Source organism: Homo sapiens, chromosome 4 (assembly GCF_000001405.40).
Source record: "Homo sapiens chromosome 4, GRCh38.p14 Primary Assembly".
NCBI classification, from domain to species: Eukaryota; Metazoa; Chordata; class Mammalia; order Primates; family Hominidae; genus Homo; species Homo sapiens.
Genome location: NC_000004.12, coordinates 73110974 through 73134662, shown reverse-complemented (window position 1 = coordinate 73134662; position 23689 = coordinate 73110974). Strand labels below are relative to the sequence as shown.

At 35.2% G+C, this 23689-nt stretch overlaps 1 protein-coding gene across 25 annotated transcripts in view; it reads left to right on the top strand.

Moving 5' to 3' along the window:
• The window catches only part of ANKRD17 (ankyrin repeat domain 17), a 185423-nt gene that overhangs the window by 124136 nt on the left and 37598 nt on the right, over nucleotides 1-23689 (top strand). For 17 of the 25 annotated variants that reach the window (XM_005265671.5, NM_198889.3, NM_015574.2 and 14 more), the window contains 8 exons: nucleotides 9351-9462; nucleotides 9605-9750; nucleotides 12904-13046; nucleotides 13569-13782; nucleotides 14326-14501; nucleotides 15813-15975; nucleotides 18747-18842; nucleotides 20755-20871. In XM_005265671.5, the coding sequence (XP_005265728.1) occupies nucleotides 9351-9462; nucleotides 9605-9750; nucleotides 12904-13046; nucleotides 13569-13782; nucleotides 14326-14501; nucleotides 15813-15975; nucleotides 18747-18842; nucleotides 20755-20871 (1167 nt within the window). Of the gene's footprint in view, nucleotides 1-9350; nucleotides 9463-9604; nucleotides 9751-12903; nucleotides 13047-13568; nucleotides 13783-14325; nucleotides 14502-15812; nucleotides 15976-18746; nucleotides 18843-20754; nucleotides 20872-21351; nucleotides 23207-23689 lie in introns of those variants that run through there. The other 8 variants (XM_047450047.1, XM_017008016.3, XM_017008014.3 and 5 more) reach the window with 1 other exon arrangement.

Here is a 23689-nt window from a genome sequence, read left to right as displayed (position 1 = left end):
GTGAGTCTGTGTCTGTATTTGTAAAATTTAGCTGTACGGGATTCCAGGCACTTTTTGAAGAAATAACATGGAGTGGGGGGAGGACACTGTTTAAGTTAAGCTTTAGAAAGTTTGAGAGCTATTAAGTATAATTTTTTATTAAAAAGTAGTTGACCATGAAATCTCAGGGCAAGGTGAGATTGGAGAGAATAGTGCGTGTTTTATCCTGAAGAAAAGTTAAGAGGTCTAGTTTAGAAGACTGCTGAATAAGGTCAAGAGTACATGGCCATCAGGACTAAGAAATGTTTGCAGTTTACTTAGTTTTTGTATTTTGATGGTACCTGGGGTGTGTACATTATAAAACTTTTAATTTTATATATGATTATTTCTTTATAATAAAGCCTGAATTTTAGCAGGGGTAACGTGGGGAGAAAGAGAGAGGAGTGAGTGTATGTGTGTTTGTGTTGGATGGACCATTAAGGGCATGTACTCTTAACCTATTAAAAATAAAGTTTCCTTTTTATTAAAATGATCCTCAGTAACACTATGAAAAAGGAATTTTATTTCTGCTCTTACTTGTTGGCCAAATGTCTGTTGTTTTTTATGTACTGACTTTTGTTGTTGTTGAGTACTTAAAATTGCCAGGGACTATTTTAAGGAATTGTCTCATCTAATCCTCAGACCACATACATGATGTAGCTACTCTTAATATCCATCTCCCTGAAGAAGACATTGTAGCTAAGAGAGAGGTTAAGCATTTTGTTTAGTCACTTCATTTAGGCTAAGAAGCGGCAGGGCTGGGAATCATTCAGCATGACTTCAAAGACACCATTCTTTTTTTCTTTTGTAATGGGTTCTTGCCATGCTGCCCAAGCTGGTCTCAAACTCCTGTCTCAGCCTCCTGAGTAGCTGGAATTACAGGTGTGCCACCATCCCCCAAAGACACTCTTAACTACCATCTACATAGCCTTTTAAAAAAAAATACGAGATGGCCGGGCGTGGTGGCTCACGCCTGTAATCCCAGCACTTTGGGAGGCTGAGGCGGGCGGATCACCTGAGGTCAGGAGTTTGAGACCAGCCTGGCCAACATGGTGAAACCCCATCTCTACTAAAAATACAAAAAAAATTAGCTGGGCATTGTGGCGCATGCCTGTAATCCCAGCTACTCGGGAGGCTGAGGCAGGAGAATCACTTTAATCCGGGAGATGGAGGTTGCAGTGAGCCGAGATCATGCCACTGCACTCCAGCCTGGGCAACAAGAGCGAAACTCTGTCTCAAAAAAAAAAAAAAAAAACACGAGACATTCATTTGATGAGCCATAGTTGTTTACATTTAATATTGATAGCATTGTAGAATTGGTTTGAACTTGGCATTGAATTTGCATTATTTTTCCCCAGTCTTTTTTGCTTTGAGGCTTTTTATTTTTTTTTTATTTTGAGACGGAGTCTCGCTCTGTCACCCAGGCTGGAGTGCAGTGGCAATCTTGGCTAACTGTAGCCTCCGCCTCCCAGGTTCAAGCGATTCTCCTGCCTCAGCCTCCTGAGTAGCTGGGATTACAGGCGCCCACCATCACGCCTGGCCAATTTTTTTGTATTTTTAGTAGAGATGGGGTTTCACCATGTTGGCCAGGCTGGTTTCAAACTCGTTGACCTCAGGTGATCTGCCTGCATTAGCCACCCAAAGTGCTGGGATTACAGGCGTGTGCCACCGCACACAGCTGAGACTATTATGTTTAGCAAGAGGTAGTTTTCTGATTTTTGTGGGCCCAAGAATTGATCCATTAGCAAAAATAAGTACTTCACCAAAATGTAAAAAGACTTCTTTATAAAAATGTTTTTAAACAGGCACAGAAAAGTTTGTCCAGTCATTGATTTTACTGAATATGAAATTACTGTAGTGATGGTGAAATGATTTTTCTGGGCTGTACCACTCACCAACTATCACCATGTTATAACTTAGTTCTGAGAAGTTACATGTAATTTTTTAATTAAAATTATTTTTAAACTTACATTTTAAACATAGTAGACATGCTTTTATAGAAAAATTTGACTATGACTCCTTAAAAATCTACTTTTTTTATCTGATCTCACATCAAGATTTGTCATTTGTTGGGTTAGCCAGACCTGAGTTAAACTACTCTCTGTGGAGTTTTACCATATGTGTTTAGTTAGAGATTAAAAAGTTCCTACCTTGGAAAAAAATACTGTTCAAAAATAATTGTTCACCATTTTTCTCCTTTAATTTTTGATGTTTGTTTTTAAAATTTACTAGTTTTGACCAGGTGTGGTGGCTCACGCCTGTAATGCCAGCGCTCTGGGAGGCCGAGGTGGATGGATCACCTGAGGTTAGGAGTTCGAGACCAGCCTGGCCAACATGATGAAACCCTGTCTCTACTAAAAATACAAAAATTAGCCGGGCATGGTGACACACACCTGTAATCCCACCTATTTGGGAGGCTGAGGCAGGAGAAGCACTTGAACCCAGAAGGCAGAGTGTTGGCCAGTGAGCCAAGATCATACCACTGCACTCCAGCCTGGGCGACAGAGTGAAACTCTGTCTCAAAAAAAAAAAAAACAACTAGTTTTTATATCAAGCAGGTAATTTAAGTGATTAAAAATGAAGATCCTTTTATACTCAATCAAACAAAAGCTCAAAGTTTTTGTTTTGATAAGAAAATAAAAATTTTGTGGGCTCTTACATAGTGGGTACTTTGATTATGTGTGATAATACTGTGCTGTGACAAATAATATAATGAAGAAATTAATACCAAGATTGCTATTCTGAAAGATTAAACATTCTTTAATACTTAGATCTTTCATCTGTTTATGTAACAAACCCTAACATACAGGCTTAATGCCTTGCAGATATTAACTTCTTTAACTTAATCTTTGTAACAGTCCCATGAAGTAGGTACTATTATTATTACATTTTCCATTTGAGGAATATAAGACATAAAGATATTAACTACCTTGCCCAACAGCTAATTAGTGGTGGAGCCTACTTTTGAACTCAGACACTCTGGCTCTAGACTCTTTTCTTTTATTAACCACTGCACTATGTTACATTGTTTTTTTATTTTTAACTTAAGTGTGTTAACCTTGAATTTGAATTATGTTGTATTAGCCTGGTAAGTGGGATCACAGAAACGTGTCCACTGCCTAGATGGTAAGAGATCATTTGTCTTTCATCTTTGCATACTTAACATCAAAATATAAGGAAGAACAAAGGAAATGTTAATCTTTTAAAGCCTCAAAGTATAACTCCTTTTAAAATGCTAATGATTCTGGAAAATGGTCAGACCTTTAACTGCTTTAGTTGAACATTTTAGACAGGAGCTAATATTTTTAACAAGGATTAGCAGGAATCATATGTTTTATTTCTGATCCTTGACAAATGCTGAAGAGTTTGCATTCTTCATAAGGGGCTTCAACTCTCTGCTACACAACTAGAACTCACTTGCCAAGGGTGTGCCACAGACTTTCCAACTCTCCAGTTTTACTGAATCAAATTTGTCTAGGTATTTTCAAAACTTTTAAGATGAATACCACATACTTTGCTGCTATCAAAATCTGTTTTAGGAAACCAATAAATAATAGTTTGAAGGAATTATTTGGGACTATTTTTATTACACCTTTTGATAGCATTGCTCTGACCTTTGTGTTTATTTTGCTTGAGTTTAAGTTGAGTTTATTTTGCTTAAGTTTGGTATAACCAAACTTATTTGTGGGTTCTGTACATACAGAAATGAGGAATTATGTAGAGATTTTTTAAAACCACAGGCTTTATGTGGAACAATAATTCTGACTTGAAGGTTAGAACTGAATACCACAAGTTAATTAAATATTTTTTGTATTTTATTGTGTAAAATATGATCGATTCTAGGAGCCACTACCAATGAGAAAGAACCAGTTGTTTTGTTCTTGGGCTATAAAAACTTGTTCCAGCCTCTTTTTTGTCACATGTCCTCCCTATATTCCTAAACTGCTTGTTGTTTTTATTCTGAGGCCGCTGAAGTCTTTTCTTGAACTTGGAGTACCTTATTCTAGTACATCTCAAAACTGAAAAAAAAAAAATAGATCTTTATAGAATTTTGCTTTCTTTCACTTTTTAATAATTAACATATATTCATTATTTTAAAGAAGGGTAGACATCAAATTTCACTTGTGACGTATCAAGACTGAAATTGTTAAGTATGTAAAATTATATTTTACCTTTAATGGTATAAGTATTATATGAATATTTTTCTCTATTCTTATTGGTTTTGCAATATAAAGAACAGTTTAATCACAGTGATTTAACATGAGAAATTAGAGAGGCCAGCAAAAATTAGTTAACAGTGATACATATATAATATGCTACCATTAAAGCATTCTGCTTTAAAATACATGCATTCTACTTGTTCATATGAACTGCTTTTAATAGGTTATTTATTTTACTGATTATTCTCATTTATTGAATACCTTGAAGTGCTATCCCACTTTTTAAGCTTACATGTAACCTGAGTGGGTTAGAGAATGAGATATTAAGGATTTTGAAGGTTGTGGAAGTGTAAAAAAAGTTCAGCTCTTTAAGTCCTAGTAGTTTTCAAGGTAATTTAATTATGTTAAGAGTAATTAATAGGCAGAGTGCAGTGGCTCACACCTGTAATCCCAGCACTTTGGGAGGCCAAGGTGGGAGGATCATGAGGTCAGGAGTTCGAGACCATCCTGGCTAACACCGTGAAACCTTGTCTCTACTAAAAATACAAAAAAAAATTAGCCAGGCGTGGTGGCAGGCACCTGTAGTCCCAGCTACTCGGGAGGCTGAGGCAGGAGAATGGCGCAAACCTGGGAGACGGAGCTTGCAGTGAGCTGAGTGAGCCACTGCACTCTAGCCTTGGCGACAGAGCAAGACTCTCTCTCTCAAAAAAAAAAAAAAAAAAAGTAATTAATAGATGTACTTTTTTGTTGTTGTTGTTGTTGTTGTTGAGACAGGGTCTCACTCTTGTCAGCCAGGTTGGAGTGCAGTGGCACCATCACAGCTTGCTGCAGCCATGAACTCCTGGGCTCAAATGATCCTCCTGCCCCAAACTCATGAGTAGCTATGAGTACAGGCATTGCACACCACTTCTGGCTAATTTTTTGCAGAGATGGGGTCTTGCCATGTTGCCCAGCTGTTCTCAAACTTCTGGCCTCAAGTGATCCTCCTGCCTCAGCCTCCCAAAGTGTTGGGATTACAGGCATGAGCCATTGTACCCAGCGTATTTCCTTTTTTAAAGACACTTCACACAGTTCAGTGCTTTTTCACCTGAATTTCAGCTCATTAAAAGTTGTCTTTCCTTCAGTATTGCCATCTGTGTTACTATTTCTTGTTTTTCATTCTGTACCACCATTATAAAATTGAATAGTCATGTTGATAACTTACAGAATATTTTTGCATTAAATATATTTTTTATCATTTTTTATAAGCCAGAATTCATCATAACAACCTCTATTAATGGTATAGAATGGTGTATATATTATGGCATCATGGGCTAACTGAAATTTTCTTTAGAATAGAAACCTGAATGAGCTCTTAAAGCTCTGGACATCTATCTCCTTTTTCAGGTTCGGGACTTTCTCTTAGATCTGTGACAAGGAATATAACTTCTTGACTAATGTAACTTTGTGCAATATAATTTGAATCTAAGGATTCTTCCTTTAATTGGTACTTTGCCTTCTACAAAATAGTCAGCTGTATTATAATTATTTCCATGATTAGCAGTATTTGAAACACCTGTTTTTTTCTTTACTTTGTCATTATTAATATTAACCCAAATTTCTATTTCAGTTCATTTGTTTATTGATGTATTCAGAAATAGAGTGATATTTCTGTCATGTTAGTTGGTTTAGTTTCTCTTAATGCAGAAATACAATGGAGTTGCCCACTTTTAACTTCATTTCCACAAGGAATTTAAAGCTGTTTTCTTAGCTTTAAATGTTTGTTTCTTGAAATCTCATAATATATTATTATGCTTGTCTCCTAGTTTGAACCTGAATTTGCCCTGTGTAGTAATCAGTAAGCTTCTTTGAGTCCTGTATTATCTTTGTCAACCCTCGAGCACTTAGTAGAGTGCTTTGAATATAAAAGGTGCTTAATAAATGTCAGTTGAATTTATGTTTTATAATATTGGAAAAAACATTTTACTGATCCACTAAAATTTTCCGTGCTTATCTTTTGCAAATTTTATGTACATCTCTTCATTTTCTATTTAAGCTTTCCTAAATTACTCTTTAAACCCTGGAAGAATTTTAGAAACCTTATAAACTTCATCATAAAATTGATTCTTCTGCTGATTGCATATGCACCAACGTAGAGTGGACATAAGACACATACACTTAACATTATATTCAGCACAATCTGCTTTGCCTTAGGGCCCCTCTGTGATATAGTGGGGAGAGCAGGATTTTGTTATCAAGATCTTCTTGGGTTTTTTAAAGCACATATCTACCAGTTGTTAGCTTATGTGGCCATCGGAAAGTTATTTATCAGAGCCTTTATCTCCTTTTCTCTGAAATCAGATATAATTTCTTCCTATAAACCTGAAATGAAGATCAAATAGTATAACACAGTCAGAGCTGTCACTCATTTAAGTTTCATGTCCTTCTCCATTGTTGTAGTTGGTGCATCTCTCCCTTGTGGCCATCCCTGATCTCTGCAGTCAGTAGCTCTGCTCTCTGCCAGCCTCTTCTGCAGAGCAGCTTTTGCCGTCTCCCTCTTCATCACTGACTAGTAGGCTTTTTCTTTTTTCTTAACTCTTACTGATTTTGCCTTTTGTCTTTTGTTTTTCATTTCTTATAATGGAATTTGGTCTGTAGAGTTATTTACATTCTGGGAGAATATGCTTTTCCTTTTTATAATTATTATGTACATTCTACAAATACAATGTGTAAATGTAATCAATGCTACATATATAGTCCCTTGCTTATTATGTTTATTAGTAACAGTTTTTGAATCTATGACCTTTTGCAGCTATTGCCATTCATTTTACTTAACTATCATTTATTATTTCCTAAGTAATTTATCACTACAGGTAGAAAATACAAACATGGATAAGACATGTTCCTTACCTCCCAGGAATTTATAGTCTCTGTGGGTGATAAACATATAAGGCAGATTGGTGATAAGTACTATAATAGAGATACATATGTGAAAGTGAGGGAAATGCTTAGAGCAACACTGTTCAGTTGAAAAATATGATGAGATTGTAATTTTAAATTCTCTAGTAGTCGCATTAAAAAATGTGAAAAGAAACAAATGGGATGAATTTTAAAATATATTTAATTTAATTTAATATATCCAAATATTGTTTTAACATGTCATGCAATCAATACACCACAATTGCTGAGATAATTTACATTTTTATTTCATACTAAAAGTCTTCAAAACTTGGGCATGTTAGACTTACAGCTGGAGTGATCAAATCATTTTGGTTTTCCTGGGACTTTCCTGTTTTAGCACCAGAAGTCCCTCATCCCAGAAACCCCCTCAGTCCCAGATTTGTCACCCTACTTAAAGTATATCTGAATTTGGATTTCATTGGAAATACTCAATTTGTATCTAGATTTAATTAAATGTGCAGTCGAAAAGTAGATTCATTTACTCAAATTGTTTGAGACATCCTAAATTTTCCAGTAACCAAATTGAATATCAGTTATTACATTTAAATTAAAGTTAAATACAATTTAAAATTCAGTTCCTCTGTTACACTAACCATATTTCAAATGCTAATAGTCACATGTTGCTTGTAGAGTACTAAAAGGTATCTAGCTGGGCGTGGTGGCAGACGCCTGTAAACCCAGCTACTCAGGAAGCTGAGGCAGGGAGCGTTGCGTGAACCCAGGAGGCAGAGATTGCAGACAGCCAAGATCGCGCCACTGCACTCCAGCCTGGGTGACAGCGAGACTCCATCTCAAAAATAAAAAATAAAATAAATAATAAAAGTATGAGAAATTAGATAGTTTGCTAGGTTAGCATTGAAACTATAACAGAGTATGAACACTGGTAAATCTAATATGTTGGTCATTATCATTAGCAGAAGGCAGAAGCAAACCATATGTAGATAGTGTCATGTCTCATTATAATAGTCTTTGTTTTTCAAAATACACAGTATATTTTGGATATTTGGTTCCTTTAAGTATTTTGGGGCTTTGTTCTCAAATACAGCTAAGTTACTTGGAAACAATTTTTTTTTTTTAAATTTCAAGGCCTACTTCTCAGTTTGTTAGGTGGGTCCACAACTGCTAATTTGGCCCTACTACTGAGGATTCTACTTGACATCCTGTGTGTTTTGAGGTCTTTCTACTCTGGCTGGTGGGAACCAAACTATTCCTGGCTCCGTGTGAGCCCTGGGTATTATTCAGCCTGACTCTCTCTGGTGGTCCTTTCCTGGCCTGGGATAATTTCCTCATGCACATGGACTGATCAAAACTCAGCTGAAGATTTGAGGGGAATCCTCTGCACATCTCCAGAGTACCCTTTCTGCAGTACTCTCCTCTTCAATAATCTGCTCCATGAATTCTAGCCACCTTGATCTCTCCAAATTCTGTCTTCTCAAGTTGGGGAGACTGCCAGGTTGTTTGGATACTTGCTCCTTGCACTATAGCCTGGAAACTCTCCAGGCAGTAAGTTGGGCTAATCATTTCTGTCTTCAGAGATCACTCTTCTGCACTGCCTGTCTAAACACCATCGTTTCAAAGAGGTTTTTTTTCTTTTTTAGTTATTTGAAATAGGAAAATAAATCTGATCTATGTTTCTCCATTAATGGCTGAAAGCAAAAGTTAATCCACAGTATTTCTTTCAATCACGTGATTGAAAGTCATACTTTATTTTTCTTGATGTTTGTAGCCTTTTTAAAAAACTCGCAAGTTGGCTGCTAATATGGAAACAAGTAAACCTTGCTTTTCTTTTCTTTTCTTTTTTTTTTTTTTTTTGAGACGGAGTCTCGCTTTGTCACCCAGGCTGGAGTGCAGTGGCGTGATCTTGGTTCACTGTAACCTCTGCCTCCCAGGTTCAAGCGATTCTTCTGCCTCAGCCTCCGAAGAAGCTGGGACTACAGGCACGCACCACCACACCCGGCTAATTTTTATATTTTCAGTCAAGATGGGGTTTCACCATGTTGGCCAGGATGGTCTCAATCTCTTGACCTCGTGATCTGCCCACCTCGGCCTCTCAAAGTGCTGGGATTACAGGCGTGAGCCACCACGCCCGTCCATAAACCTTGCTTTTCAAATGCTTGATATTGTAGAGTGGTACATATGTATTTGTGTGTATTTGATATGTTTGCATATTATGTATTTGATATTAACATCTTAAGTTATTTAATAAACTAACCAAAAAATAATTTCTTATAGACTGAGAGTAATCATGACACGGCACTAACACTTGCCTGTGCTGGTGGCCACGAGGAACTGGTACAAACACTGCTAGAGAGAGGAGCTAGTATAGAGCACCGAGACAAGAAAGGTAGGGCCTACTTTTGTTTTATTTTTTGGAATACTGGTCAAAAAATTTATTTAGGAACATTATTTTTTAGTCCTATTTTGAAGGTCAGATATTTTGTTCTTTTGCCTTAGCATGTAGTGAGAAGATCATTATTTTTCTCCAGGTTTTACTCCACTCATCTTGGCTGCCACAGCTGGTCATGTTGGTGTTGTGGAAATATTGCTGGACAATGGTGCAGACATTGAAGCCCAGTCTGAAAGAACCAAGGACACACCACTCTCCTTGGCTTGTTCTGGGGGAAGACAGGAGGTAATGTTTCCCCTTAGTGTAATTGTTTTCCTTTCTCTGTTTAGCAAATGTGTACTTTCACTTATATTATTTTTTCTATCAGAACAATGCTTTGACGTTTAGATTTCTCACAATAACTGAAACTATTATCTATTAACAAAAAGATGAGTATCATTGTTAGCATAAGCTATCTTGCCAGAAAAATCACACATTGTTTAGAATCCTGCTCATCTAAAAGTAGGAATGCCATGCATTTACGGTAGGAGAAAGACTATTCCAAGTCAAATCAGTAAGTTCCTAATGTACAGGGCCTATATTCACTCATCTTTGCCTGCCCTATAGTACATGGCATAGAAGGTACTTAATCACAGTCTCTGTTGCTGTCTGTAAGATTAGTAGGGAATTAAGAATATTCAATTTTTATGTGTTTTGAGAACTCTTGTCTTGCTTTGATTTTTCCCCACCCTTTCTCAACTCTGGAGGAAAGGTTCTCAGATAAGATGGTAAGATTATATGACCTTTTGTTTTTTTAAGGAAACTAGAACAACTGATAGAGATTAGCTAGGCTCAAGAAAATGTAGCTTTACACTCACTTATGTATCTTGTGGCATTTTATAATCAGCTAGATAACCTTTTTTTTTTTTTCAAATTCAGTCCTTTGTACAGGGGATATAAACCAGATGTGTTGTCTCCATAGATTCCCTTCTCTATCAAGGAATTATTGAATCTTAGATTTGGAAAGCACCTTAGGTCATTCAGATCAGTGTCTTAGCTTTAAAATCTTTTTTCTCTTATTCTTTTATAAGGTTTTCCTATTTATCAGGCCTGAAGTATGCCTTTTTTGTTTCCCCACAGTTCTTAGTTTTGTTCTTTAAACAAATAGAAAGAGGTTTAACCTTTTCTATCTTCAGATTTTTTTTTTCCTGAAGTCACCTATTCTTTGTGTGAAACAAGTCTTGTTTCGGTTGTTAGCCTAAGAATACCTTTTCCAATCCCTTCATCATCGTGACTGTTTCACCCTTTATGTCAGTATCCTTCTTAAAATATTATATGTAAAGGTATTCTGACGAGTGAACTGGGGAACTGTTACCTCCCATTTGAGCATCTTAAACTAGCTTTTCCCCCCACTTCCCCCCAGTCATAGCACATAAGGTTATATTGAGCTCTAGTTAGTTAAACCCACTAGATTTTTAAAATAAACTAATAAATAAACAATTTTAATAGATATAATAATTCCTATACAAAAGAATGGGAAATCTAATAAAATTATGTAAGTGCAGTAAGGGTAGGGCTTGGTCATCCTTCATTTTGTAAATTAAAAAGAACTGAAATCTATTAACAGTGATAATATAGGCATTTTTTTCCATAATTTTTGTTCCCTTATATTTGGAATAGATATTATATGAATGGATAGTTAGATACACTTATTACTAGAATACTCCACACAAGAGACAAGGAGCCTGGCCTGTCCCTACTGTTTTGTTTCTTCTACTTGTGTCACTTTTTTCTTCTATAATTCATAGTAGGGGCAATAGATAGGTTAAAAGTATTATAAGCCAAATATTAAGATAGTGAAAAATGAACCACTTAATTTGATAAATTATTTCTACTATTCCAGAAAAAGTAAAAATCCCCATAAATCCCGGAAAGCAAAATTTTGCCTTTCAATCATATTGCCTTTCAATCATTATTTAGCTTGAAAAAATACTTGCTTTATATAAGAACAGATTTTTTCAATATTGAGTCAAGAAGATATTAGTTGATTTTCTTTATTTAAAAGTAGTATTAAAGCCAATAGGGCACTGTAATTTTTATGAATTATGTATTTTTGTTAAAATATAACAGATTAGGTTATAACAATTGTTGAAGTATGTTAGGGTAACAATTTTGCCTATAAACACTTTGTTACTTTAATTTGGTGTCAATAGAAGAGGTAAGTATTTTGAAGTGATTAATAAAATGTTGGAAAGTCATTTTACTATAAAAATCATACATTTTTGTTGTATATTGGATGTTTTGGGAGCAGAAGAGTTCTCTGAAAGAATTGAGAAATATAATGGCATTGAGAAAACTTGAGAAATTTGATTAGAGTTTTCTACTATACTGTTTATAAAATAGCCTAACGCTATATTTTTTCTTGTTTTTATAACCTTGTCACTCGCTCTGAAAGCAAAAAGTGATGGAAAGAATGTGATATCTAAAATTGGACATAGCTTTGCTGAGATGCAAGATAAACCACTATTCATTAACATTTATTATTTGCCAGTTAGTATTTTAGGATATATTATTAATAGTAAGAGCAGGGGTAAGAGCTATGATCTTGAGCCAGTCTTGACTTCTCTATATCTTATTTATAAAATGAGAATGAATATTGTGTCAAAGGATTGTTTAGGCATTAAATGGCATAGTGGACAATGATCTGTGAATGGCCCATCAGTACTTAAATAAATGCTAAATATTTTTAGGTTTCAGGAAATGCAATTAAGATCCAGTGGGATACAACTACACATCCACTAGAATGGCTAAAATTGACGACTGGCAATAACAGATGTTGCCAAGACTCATGCTACTAGAACTCATGCATTATTGAAGGGAGTGTACATAGTACAACCACTTTAAGAATAGCCTGGCAATTTCTTACAAAACCATACACCCAGAAATTCTGCCAGTAGGTGGGACCTAAAATCTAGGTAGTGAATGTATATAAGGTTTTTTAATGTTATCTTAGAAAATTTTCATAATCTTGTGAAAATATAGGACCTTTTATACCATGCTTTTAAAATACTTACTGATTAAAAGGTTTAAAAATATGTTAAATACATTCACATGTATAATACGAAAAAATCTTGTCCCATATTACTCTATTTTACCGCTTTGTGGTGAAATAACAAATATTAATTTCCAAAGCATGTCACAAAATTTTCAGTCCAGACCTTTCATGAACACATTGTAGCATTTTAGTGGATTTCTACATGGGTTTTACTTGAGAAGGTATCTCTTTGTTGGCTTCTAAGACCTCCTGCTATCATTAGAGGCTGATTTTATGCAGAGCATGAAGGAAGAACTTTCCCCTTCTTTTATTGTACAGTATACCAGAAAAAGAAATTTAAAAATACACACTTTGGTAATTTGTCTCTCCATAAGAAAACATATTTTTTTCTATTTTATTTTCAGGTGGTGGAGCTATTGTTAGCTCGAGGGGCAAATAAAGAGCACAGGAATGTTTCTGATTACACACCTCTAAGTCTGGCTGCTTCTGGTGGCTATGTGAACATCATCAAAATATTACTAAATGCAGGAGCTGAGATTAACTCTAGGCAAGTTGTATTCCCTTTCTGTAAGCCCCTTATTTAGTAAGACTGTTATAGATATTTGTAGAACACCTATTTTTTAGTGCCAAATTTAGTAAATCCCTTTATTACAAATTTGGCATTCAAAGTGTTAGAGATTTTTGAGATGAACTTTATTTAAGTAATTAAAACTTGATATAGAGTTTGAAAAATATTGAGTACTGTTTCTTATGATACTAAATGTAAACATCTTAGAAGCTTTTATTAAGCAAGCTAATACATGCTTTAAGATTGAAAGTTTATCCTAATAACTTATTAATCACCTTCCAGCCTAAGTCATTATGTTGAGTGAAATACAAAAAATATTCTAATAAAACATTTCTAATGGAGTCTTGGTAGTATCTCAGAGACTTACTAAGGTTGAGAAAAATGGATATTTTAAACAATCCTTCAAAATAATCTTAGATTAGAATTATATATCATCTCCAATTTTTCTGTCATTTAAAATATATATTTTTCCATTTGTTTTCCCCATACCTGCACCCCTAGAACTGGTAGCAAATTGGGCATCTCTCCTCTGATGTTAGCAGCTATGAATGGGCATACAGCTGCTGTTAAGCTCCTGTTAGACATGGGCTCTGACATAAATGCTCAGATAGAAACCAATCGGAACACTGCCCTTACTTTAGCCTGCTTCCAAGGAAGAACTGAAGTGGTTAGTCTTCTGCTTGATAGAAAAGCAAATGTTGAACACAGAGCTAAGGTAAGAAAAAGTCTGAGATTTACACATGAATTTATTGCTTTGATATTTAAGATATATAGTAGCAACATGTTGATTATAATTTTAGTTCTTTCTAGTAACATTTATCTCCTATGTATATATTTAATTAGAAATCATTCTGTATAACTCAGTCAAACATTAACTCTTGAAAATACCTGAGTGATAAATTTTTATAGGCAACAATGACAGTAGGATTATCAGCTGAAAAAGAGAGACTATTTTGAAAAGGAAGGGAATGGAACATTTATTGAGTACCAGTTATATGCCAAGTGCTTGCATCTTAAACAGATTTTTTTTTCTTTCTTTCTTTTTTTTTTTTTTGCAATACCGTTGAGATTAGGTAGAATTATTTTCTTTTAATAGATCAGACTAACTCAAAGGAGCTAATAAGGGTCAGTGATTAAATTTAGTTGTGAATCTTGGTAACAGCTGTATCATATTCCTTCTTCAAGTTGTTATTCTTTACAATTTTAGATCTTTCCAGTCTCTTACGTGTCATTACTTTTAATTTTACACTAAACTTAGACTGGTCTCACACCACTAATGGAAGCTGCCTCTGGTGGATATGCGGAGGTGGGCCGAGTTCTTTTGGATAAAGGTGCTGATGTTAATGCCCCTCCAGTTCCCTCCTCAAGAGATACAGCTTTAACCATAGCAGCAGATAAAGGGCATTACAAATTCTGTGAGCTTCTTATTGGCAGGTATGTTGTTACCATACCCTTCATATATGAACACAAGTGTTACTAGTGGTTATCATTCTCTCTAGGCAATTAAACTATTTAAAAAATCAAATGTGATTATTTCTTCTTTTATAAACAAGTGCTTTTTCCCCCAAACCTACCCATTGTTTTCCAACCCTCCAGAGCTATGCTACATTGTCTGATTTGTTTCTGTGTAACCTAAAAATGTTTTTCTTTCATTCTTGTCTATATTACTTTTAACGTCTACAATAACAAGCTATTTGAACATCCATCTGTTATCAGACATACTTACATCCCCCACACACAAGTCTTAAAAGTCTGGCAGTGATCTAAGGCTTCATTGTCCATTTTCTTGTTCTTCACAGTAATTAAGGCTTTTAGGTGTGGTTATGGGACTATTTAAGATAAACAGACAGGATCCAAGGTACTTTCTACTTTCAGTCACGTAGAAGTTGCCTGCTAGTTTTCCAAAGATGCTTGTCTGTTTAACTTGTTTTCGTGCACTCTCAAAGACCTTTGCATGGTATTCTAAGCAGTAGTATTTGGCAGTAACTGCTGTTAACTCTTACTAACCATGGTTCTTCCCATCTACATCATGCCCACTGAATGAATGCTAAACCTGCATGTTATCTTTAACATAACTACAAAAACAGATTGAGTATCCCTAATTGGAAAAGCTCCAAAGTATGGAACTTTTTGAGCCCTGTTATGACACTCAAAGGAAATGCTCTTTGGAGCATTTCAGACTTCAGATACTGGATTTCAGATTAGGGATGGTCAAATTGTATATGAATACAAATAATCTGAAACGGTTACAGTTGCCTCATAGGATATTGTTTGTGTAGTATAATTCTGAGAGCAAGACATATTTACATCTTTGAATATTGAAAACAATTTTTATCTTTACAGAATATTTTCACATGTTGATAGTTGATTTTTGTTACTGTGTCATTTCATTCTATTTAAGACAATGCTAGGCTAGGTGTGGTGACAATGCCTATAATTCCAGCACTTTGAGAGGTTGAGGCAGGAGGATTACTTGAGCCCAGGAGTTCGAGACCAGCCTGGGTAACATAGGAAGACTCCATCTCCACAAGAAATTTAAAAATTAGCTGAGCGTGGTGGCATGGGACTGTAGTCCCAGCTACTCTGGAGGCTGAGGTAGGAGAATCATATGACCCCTGGAGGTGGAGGCTGCAGTGAGCCATGATCTCACCACTGCACTCCAGCCTGTGTGACAGAGCAAGACCCTGTATCAAAAAAAAAAAAAAAAAAAAAAAAGACAATGCTATCTGTGTCATTGGTTTTTAGGGGAGCTCATATTGATGTACGTAACAAGAAGGGGAACACTCCATTGTGGCTAGCAGCAAATGGTGGACACCTCGATGTGGTTCAGTTACTGGTGCAAGCAGGTGCAGATGTGGATGCAGCAGATAACCGCAAGATAACTCCTCTTATGGCAGCATTTAGAAAGGTATAAGTCTTTCATCCTCATTTACCTGGATGTTTTTTTACTTACACTAGGAAGTACATGGCTTAGTGATCACTAAAGACTCATTTTGTGCTTTTGCAGCTGTGATGAAAGCAATAATATGCAAATAATTACTCTTATGGCAACATTAAATGTAGATATATACAGGTTTTTCAGAAAAGCCATTAATTTTAACCTTATTGGACATCAGAGCTAAGTAAACTTTTAAAAAGCTGTTCTAAGTAATGTGTTCAAAATCTAGTTGCAGTCTTAATCTTCACAAAGTGTAAATCCAGTTAAGATACTTAAGTAAGTACCTCCAGTTAGTTACTCTTAGTGAGTGTTTTCTTGTATTACCACTACAGAGAAAAATATCACTTAAACTGGTTATTTTGCTGGGGGCGGGGGTTGTGCCACGCATGGTGGCTCATGCCTGTAATCTCAGCACTTTGGGAGGCCAAGGCAGGCAGATGTAGCGAAGCCCTGCCTCTACAAAAATTATAAAAATTAGCCGAGCGTGGTGACATGTGCTAATAGTCCCAGCTACTCAGGAGGCTGAGATAGGAGGATGGCTTGAGCCTGAGAGGCAAAGGTTGCAGTGAGCTGAGATTGCACCACCGCACTCCAGCCCGGGTGACAAGAGTACGACCCCGTCTCAAAAAAAATTTGTTTTCATTTCAATTATTGACTTTACTAGGAAAAAAAATGAATTAAATAATGAAAATGCCACTACCAGCATTTTAAACTACTAAGTTTCAAGTATATTACATTTAAAGGTAAAAATACAAATTCCGTGAAAGTAAAACAAACTTTCTCTTTCTGTACATAGCACAGAGCTGTGTGTAAGTAATTTGATTTAATGGTTTGTTTGATAATCCATTGATCTCTTAAATCCAGCTTTAGTTTGTTATTGGGAATATCAGATTACTGTTACAGGGATTATAATTTTGAGTTTTGTCATTTGGAGATATGTAGATAAAATTCCCTGTAGATGCCAAAATGTTGAAAATTTTTAATAAATAAATCACAATAAGCTATTTCTTCCTTTTTCTCTTATTATCTCTGACCGCTGTTCTTTATTCTACCTCTTCCCTAGATAATCTGGACTACCAGTGACTCTGTATTTTTGACTCTCTATATTTTTGTTTCTCAGCAATCCAACTTATTCCTTCTCACTGGCTAGCTGCCTCTTCTCCAAGCAAGCTAGCATATCATTATCAAGTTAATCTTTCTAACCACTCTACTATATTAGAGAACCTCTTCAAGAACCTTTCTGTGTCTCCCCAGTTTCTGAAATCATTTGAAATCCAATCTTAGTTTGGTATTCACAGCCACCACAATTTAGTGCTTGTAGATCTTATCTCCCATTAGAATCCTTAATGTGGAGAATTATCTTCTTGCTTGGTCTTTTCCTTGTTCCTATCTCTCACATCACCTTTGTTCTCATCTCATAGAATGCCCATGTCTTTCTTCATTTTTCCAAAGTTACTCATTCTTTAGTTATAGTTGAAGTCTCTCCTACCAAACTCTTCATCCTATTTGAGTTCACATCGAGATCTCTAATCTCTAGAGGTCGTACAAGTTTGACAGTGTTTATCATTCATTTGGAGAAATACATATTTTTATATGTTATTACTCTAACTATTAGAGTTGTTATTTTTATTAGTTATTACTCTAGTATCTAACATGCATATATCTTTCCAGATAGACTTATTGACTTCAGTTGAGCAGTGCTTATCTTTTATACTCTTATGTATTTGTTCCATTATTTCTTGAGTACCTAACATGTGCAACTGTGGGCTAGAGTACTATATTATATAGGGTGCAACATAGTATATGTTGTGTATATATGTCTATATACATTGTCTATATATGTATATACATATTGTCTATATATGTATATATAACATATACTATGTTATATAGGGTACAATATGGAAAGGTAAGATCCATACCCAAAGTTAGGTAACTGTTTGAGTTGTCCCATGTAAATAGTTTAAACACTGTAGAAGTATTAGAGAGATCCTTAGGGAATGATGCAAGTGGCATTTGAGCTATTCATTTAGAGAAAAGTTTAGAAACATGCAGTCTAAAAGGAAGAGATAGAGGCAATAGAAAAAATATACTAAAGATTAACAGCTGTTTATCCCGACTGGCTAACTTCAGATGTTGTGTCAGAAAGCAACAGTATGGGCTAGACAAAGTGGGAATGGCGTTTAAGAAGTAGGAAAGGGCAAGTCTAAAGATTTTGAACTTAGATACTAACTTGTGTTGCAGTGAATAATCATAGCTTATTCTTCATGAAAGTATATATTCTTTCACACTACCTAAGACAGTATTATACATTTGTTTTTTATCTGAAGGAATGAAAAAACAAAATTATTATTTTTGCCCTTTTAATCCTTAGAATTGAAACTAGACTCTCATATTTAGGGAGTTAGCAAAGAAAAAAATAAGAATCCCCACCCCCCACCACCCTTCAGACATATCCCCTACTCTTTGTATTGATTTTGGGATTATTGTTTTTTTTATTCAGAGTTGTTTAGAATTTTAGCTCATATTATTATGTACTTTTTTTGGAGGGTAGGATGAGAATGATCAATGTGGATTTAACTCACTGGAACCAAAGCCTGTCTCTTTTTCATTTATAGTGTAAATATGCAATTTAGTCTTTACTTTGTGGCCCTAATCTTAACTGTTAAAGTTAGTTCAGGCATAGATTTACTGAACTGTTAGAGTCTGTTTTCAATCTGACATTGATATCTATTTTTTAGGGTCATGTGAAGGTGGTGCGCTACTTAGTCAAAGAAGTCAATCAGTTTCCATCAGATTCTGAATGTATGAGATACATAGCAACCATCACTGATAAGGTAATATGTTGTTCACTATATGAGCAAGGGACTCTATTCGGTTAATATATCTTCCATTCTAAGAATTCCTAGTTTGAGTAGTAAAGTGTAATATGTAGCCATTTTCATTTATCTAGTATTTGGGAATGAAGTATGCGATTTAAGAGATTCTTGCAGATTATTTACTTACCTAATGAATCAATAAAACATCCTCTGCTATAGGATTACCTTATCTTTAAAAATAATACTTGAGGCCAGGTGCAGTGGCTCACCCTTGTAATCCCAGCAGTTTGGGAGGCCGAGGCAGGTGGATTGCATGAGCCCAGGAGTTCAAGACCAGCTTGGGCAACATGGGGAGACCCCATCTCTACAAAAATACAAAAATTAGCCTGGCATGTTGGCATGTGCCTATAATCCCAGCTACTTGGAAGGCTGAGGCACGAAAATCGCTTGAACCCGGAAGGTGGAGGTTGCAGTGAGCCAAGAGTGTGCCATTGTACTCCAGCCTGGGCATCAAAGCAAGACTCTTGTCTCAAAAAATAAAATAACAACAAAAAAATTCTTGAGCTAATTTAATTTTTATGTGAACACTAAGTAATTCAAAGCAACATGTTATTATTCATTAGGGCTGTCCTCTGTATATGTGTGTTTATCCAGACTGATACCTATATTGAGAAAGTAATGAGTCCAATAGATTTTTATTTCCTAGTAAAATGAACATACTACTTTTAATCATGAGCAAGAAGTCTTGAGCGTGATGTAAAAGTTAGGGTAACTAACTTTTAGTTTTAACTAAGTTTTAGAATGAATTGGCTAGGAATTTTGCAGGAAATGCAAATTTTGCAGGAAATTTTATGGAAGATAAAACTGAATCCTATTAGAGATCCTAATTGAGACCTTCTCCTGGAGACATACATTTTGATTTGGAGTTTACACTAACACTTGAATAAGATCCTAACACATGCCTCTGAAAACCAAAGAGGACAACAAATCTTAAAAATGTCTTCTTATGACGTTTACACAGTTGCTATTACATGATAGTGAACAGCTTTTCCCTATAAGTTTTAATTTAAACTAGCTAGGTCACTGTCTTTCCTAGCTCTAGACTTGTCCATGACAATTAACATTCCTATATATCACAGGTTTTTAGGGGCAGAGGGGGAGATTAAAAATAAATTATTTTTAATAATACTAAGAATAAGACTGGTTCAGTGGCACACAGCTGTAGTCTCAGGTACGCATTAGTCTCATGTACTTGGGAGGCTGAGGTGAGAGGATTGCTTGAGCCTAGGAGTTAAAGGATACAGTATACTATGATTATGCCTGTTAATAGCCACTGCATTTAAGCCTGGGCAACATGGCAAGCCCCTATCTCTAAAATTAAATAAATAAAAATTTTATAAAAATAAGGAAGTAGTGTTTTACTGTCCTAAAGTGTGACTTGAGAATGAAATCACTGAGAAAATTATGTAAGTACATGTATCTGATTCCTTTGTAAATGATTATTGTACACAAAATTGGAGCAACAAAGCTTAAATATTTGAGGACATTTCTTGAAAAATTTTCACATCTGTTTTCTTTGTTGACATTATTTCCTTTAGCCTGTTAACCAGCCAACATAAATTATTGTAGTTCTGTTTGCTGTACAATTTCTTATATTTAAATTAGAGGATAAATGACTTTAGTTTCTGAAGTGCCTGCTAAATGGATATTATTTTGAAGAATAGCAAAAGCTACTCTTTGATTCTTCATTTGTATATATTCCTAAATATACCATGTCAATTACGTTTTTATTTGCACACCTTTTTTCCCCCTTTCATGGATCTTTATTGCTTAGGTTTGAGTACCTTACTAAAGATCTTCGTGTTTTTAGGAATTTCTCTAAGTGAGAATTGTTCTGTGAGCCTGGAAAAATCTTAATTTTTCATTATAGGAGATGCTGAAGAAGTGTCATCTTTGTATGGAGTCAATAGTACAAGCCAAAGATAGACAGGCTGCTGAAGCAAACAAAAACGCCAGCATTTTGTTAGAGGAGTTAGACTTGGAAAAGGTAACAATAATCTTTACACATGAAAACTACCCACTTTTTTCCATCTTGTTTTCTCTTCTTTTGATTTGTAATCCGTCTTTTTGTTTTGTTTTGTTTGCTTTAAATTACGTACATGATTTCTTTCTACATTTGGCTCAAATCGTGGAGAGAATTATGAGTACATTGAACATCATTGAAAGCTTCTTTGTAACTAACAAAATTTTGTTATAGGAATTACATTGATCTGGAAGTCAGAAAACTTAGCTTCTAGTTCTGGATTTTAGTCTTATCTCAGCTAATGATCTCTTAATCCTCAACCACATCTGTTGTTTTTTGATCTTATAATTTATTGTTTTAGACCTTGTAATTTATTGCCAACAGGTTTATCACAAGTACCAAATGCACTACCAAGGCATAACCAACTAGTGAAATACAAATCTTGGAATGTCAAATGAGTACACTTTTTAAATGGGTGACTTCTCTTGTACTTTTCTCTTTCAGGCAGACTACAACATCATTCCCATCTATTCCCATGGGGAGTAAAATACACCAAAACAGCATATAGTTTGGACAGTCTTATAGCTTCTTCACTTCCCTTTTCTGCCACATTTTCCCCTATAATTCTGTACTCTAGAACTTAACTGAATAGTAATCATAGGAAAATAATTGGTTTGGCATTGAATATTATGGAACTGCCATATCTCATCTTTTATAAAAAGGTCAGTGGCTGGGCGCAGTAGCTCACGCCTGTATTCCCAGCACTTTGGGAGGCCGAGGCGGGCACATCACCTGAGGTCAGGAGCTTGAGACCAGCCTGGCCAACATGGCAAAACACCGTCTCTACCAAAAATACGAAAATTAGCCGGACGTGGTGGTGCATGCCTGTAATCCCATTTACTCTGGAGGCTGAGGCAGGAGAATCACTTGAACCTGGGAGGCGGAGGTTGCAGTGAGCCAAGATCACGCCACTGCACTCCAGCCTGGGCAACAGAGTGAGACTCCGTCTCAAAAAATAAATAAAATTTTTTTAAAAAGGTCAAAATGCTATAAAATTTAACATCTACTATTTAAATTTATAAAGGAGATGCAGTGATAATTATGCATATGCGTTTTTTGACTTGTTAGCTACATTCTTTTTTACTATACTTGCTTTCTTTATTAAGTTCTACATTTTGTCCTACATTAATATGAATCATTTGAAGTACTTTATTCTAATTTAAATTTGAAAATACTATTTTCTGAAAAAATGTATTTTATTTTGGAAGCTCTTCATTTTTAAAAATTTGTGGTTTATATTCTGAGCAAATTAAAAGTAGCTGTTTTGGCCATTTAAAAATGTTAAAAGAATATGAGTGCATTAAGAGATATAATGACCACTATAACTATTACTTGACCTGTTTTTATATTCACTACCTAACATTTATTTAATGCCTGCTAAATACAAGGCAGTATAATTGAGCCAGTTTGTGTGATAGAATATATATTTGATTCTTTAAATTTTTGTTTTTTTATTATAACAGTGTGCTCAGTTTAAACTGTGAAACAAAGACAAGAACAGCTGCCATCATTTTAAGATAACTGAAGTTAGAAATGTGATAATGGTTGTTTTAAAATCTTTACCTCTGCAATTACCTATAAGGCCTTTTAAGATCCTGTAATGATCTGCCTACCCACACCACTTCTTAAACCTCTCTGGCCTTGTTTTTTATTACTCTTTCTCTTAGTCACCTTGCTCTATCCATACTGACCATCCTCTTTTTGTTTGTGCTGTCAGCAGCATCTTCCATGAATGTCCCTTAGATGTCCTCATGTTTTAGTTTCCTCTTCACAAGCACTTTTCTGCTCTTCTCTGCTTTATTTTTCACTTTTCAACATTCTAAATATTGTATTCATTCAAAATACTTAATTATCTTGTTTGTCTCTATTACTAGAACATAAAATAGTGTCTGGCATATAGTAGGCACTCAATAAATATTTGTTGAATGAATAAATGTTCACACTGATTGTGATGGTGTACTTTTTTTAAAAAACAGAATCATGCAAACATATTACTCTAATACTTGCTTTCCCCTCTCTTAGTAACTGATGGATATTGTCATTTGATAGTGATTTTAAATAACTGCAGAATAGTCCATAATAAGTTTGTTTCCAGTTTTTTGTCACGACAAATAATATTGTAATAAACACCCTTATACATATTTTTTAAATATTTTGCTCCTTTTATTTTTATGAAATAAGTTCCTTCATGTGGGTCAACATATAGTAGTCCCTTTATTTGTGGTTTTGCTTTCCCTATGGTCTGAAAATATTAAATGGAAAATTCCAGAAATAAACAATTCATAAGTTTCATGTTGCATGCCGTTCTGAGTAGTGTGATGAAATTTTGCGCCGTCCTTTTCTGTCCCACCTGGGACATGAATCCTCCTTTTGTCTGGTGTATCCACTTAGTAGCCCTCAGTTATCAGATTGACTGTTGAGGTATCACAGTGCTTGTGTTCAAGAAACCCTAATTTTACTTAATAATGGCCCCAAAGTGCAAGAGTAGTGTTACTGGCATATTGTTATAATTGTTCTATTTTATTGCTATTGTTGCTTATCTTTCATTGTGCCTAATTTATAAATTAAATTTTATCATGGGTTTCTTTGAAAAAACATATATATACAGGGTCCAGTACTATCCAAGGTTTCAGGCATCTACCAGGGATCTTGGAATGTACTTACTCATCATGGATAAGGGGGCACTACTGTATTTTTAATTTAGTAGATACTTGCAGAATACTTTCCTAGTACCATTAGCAATACACCAATGTCATTTCCTTGTATTCTTGCCAGCGTTATT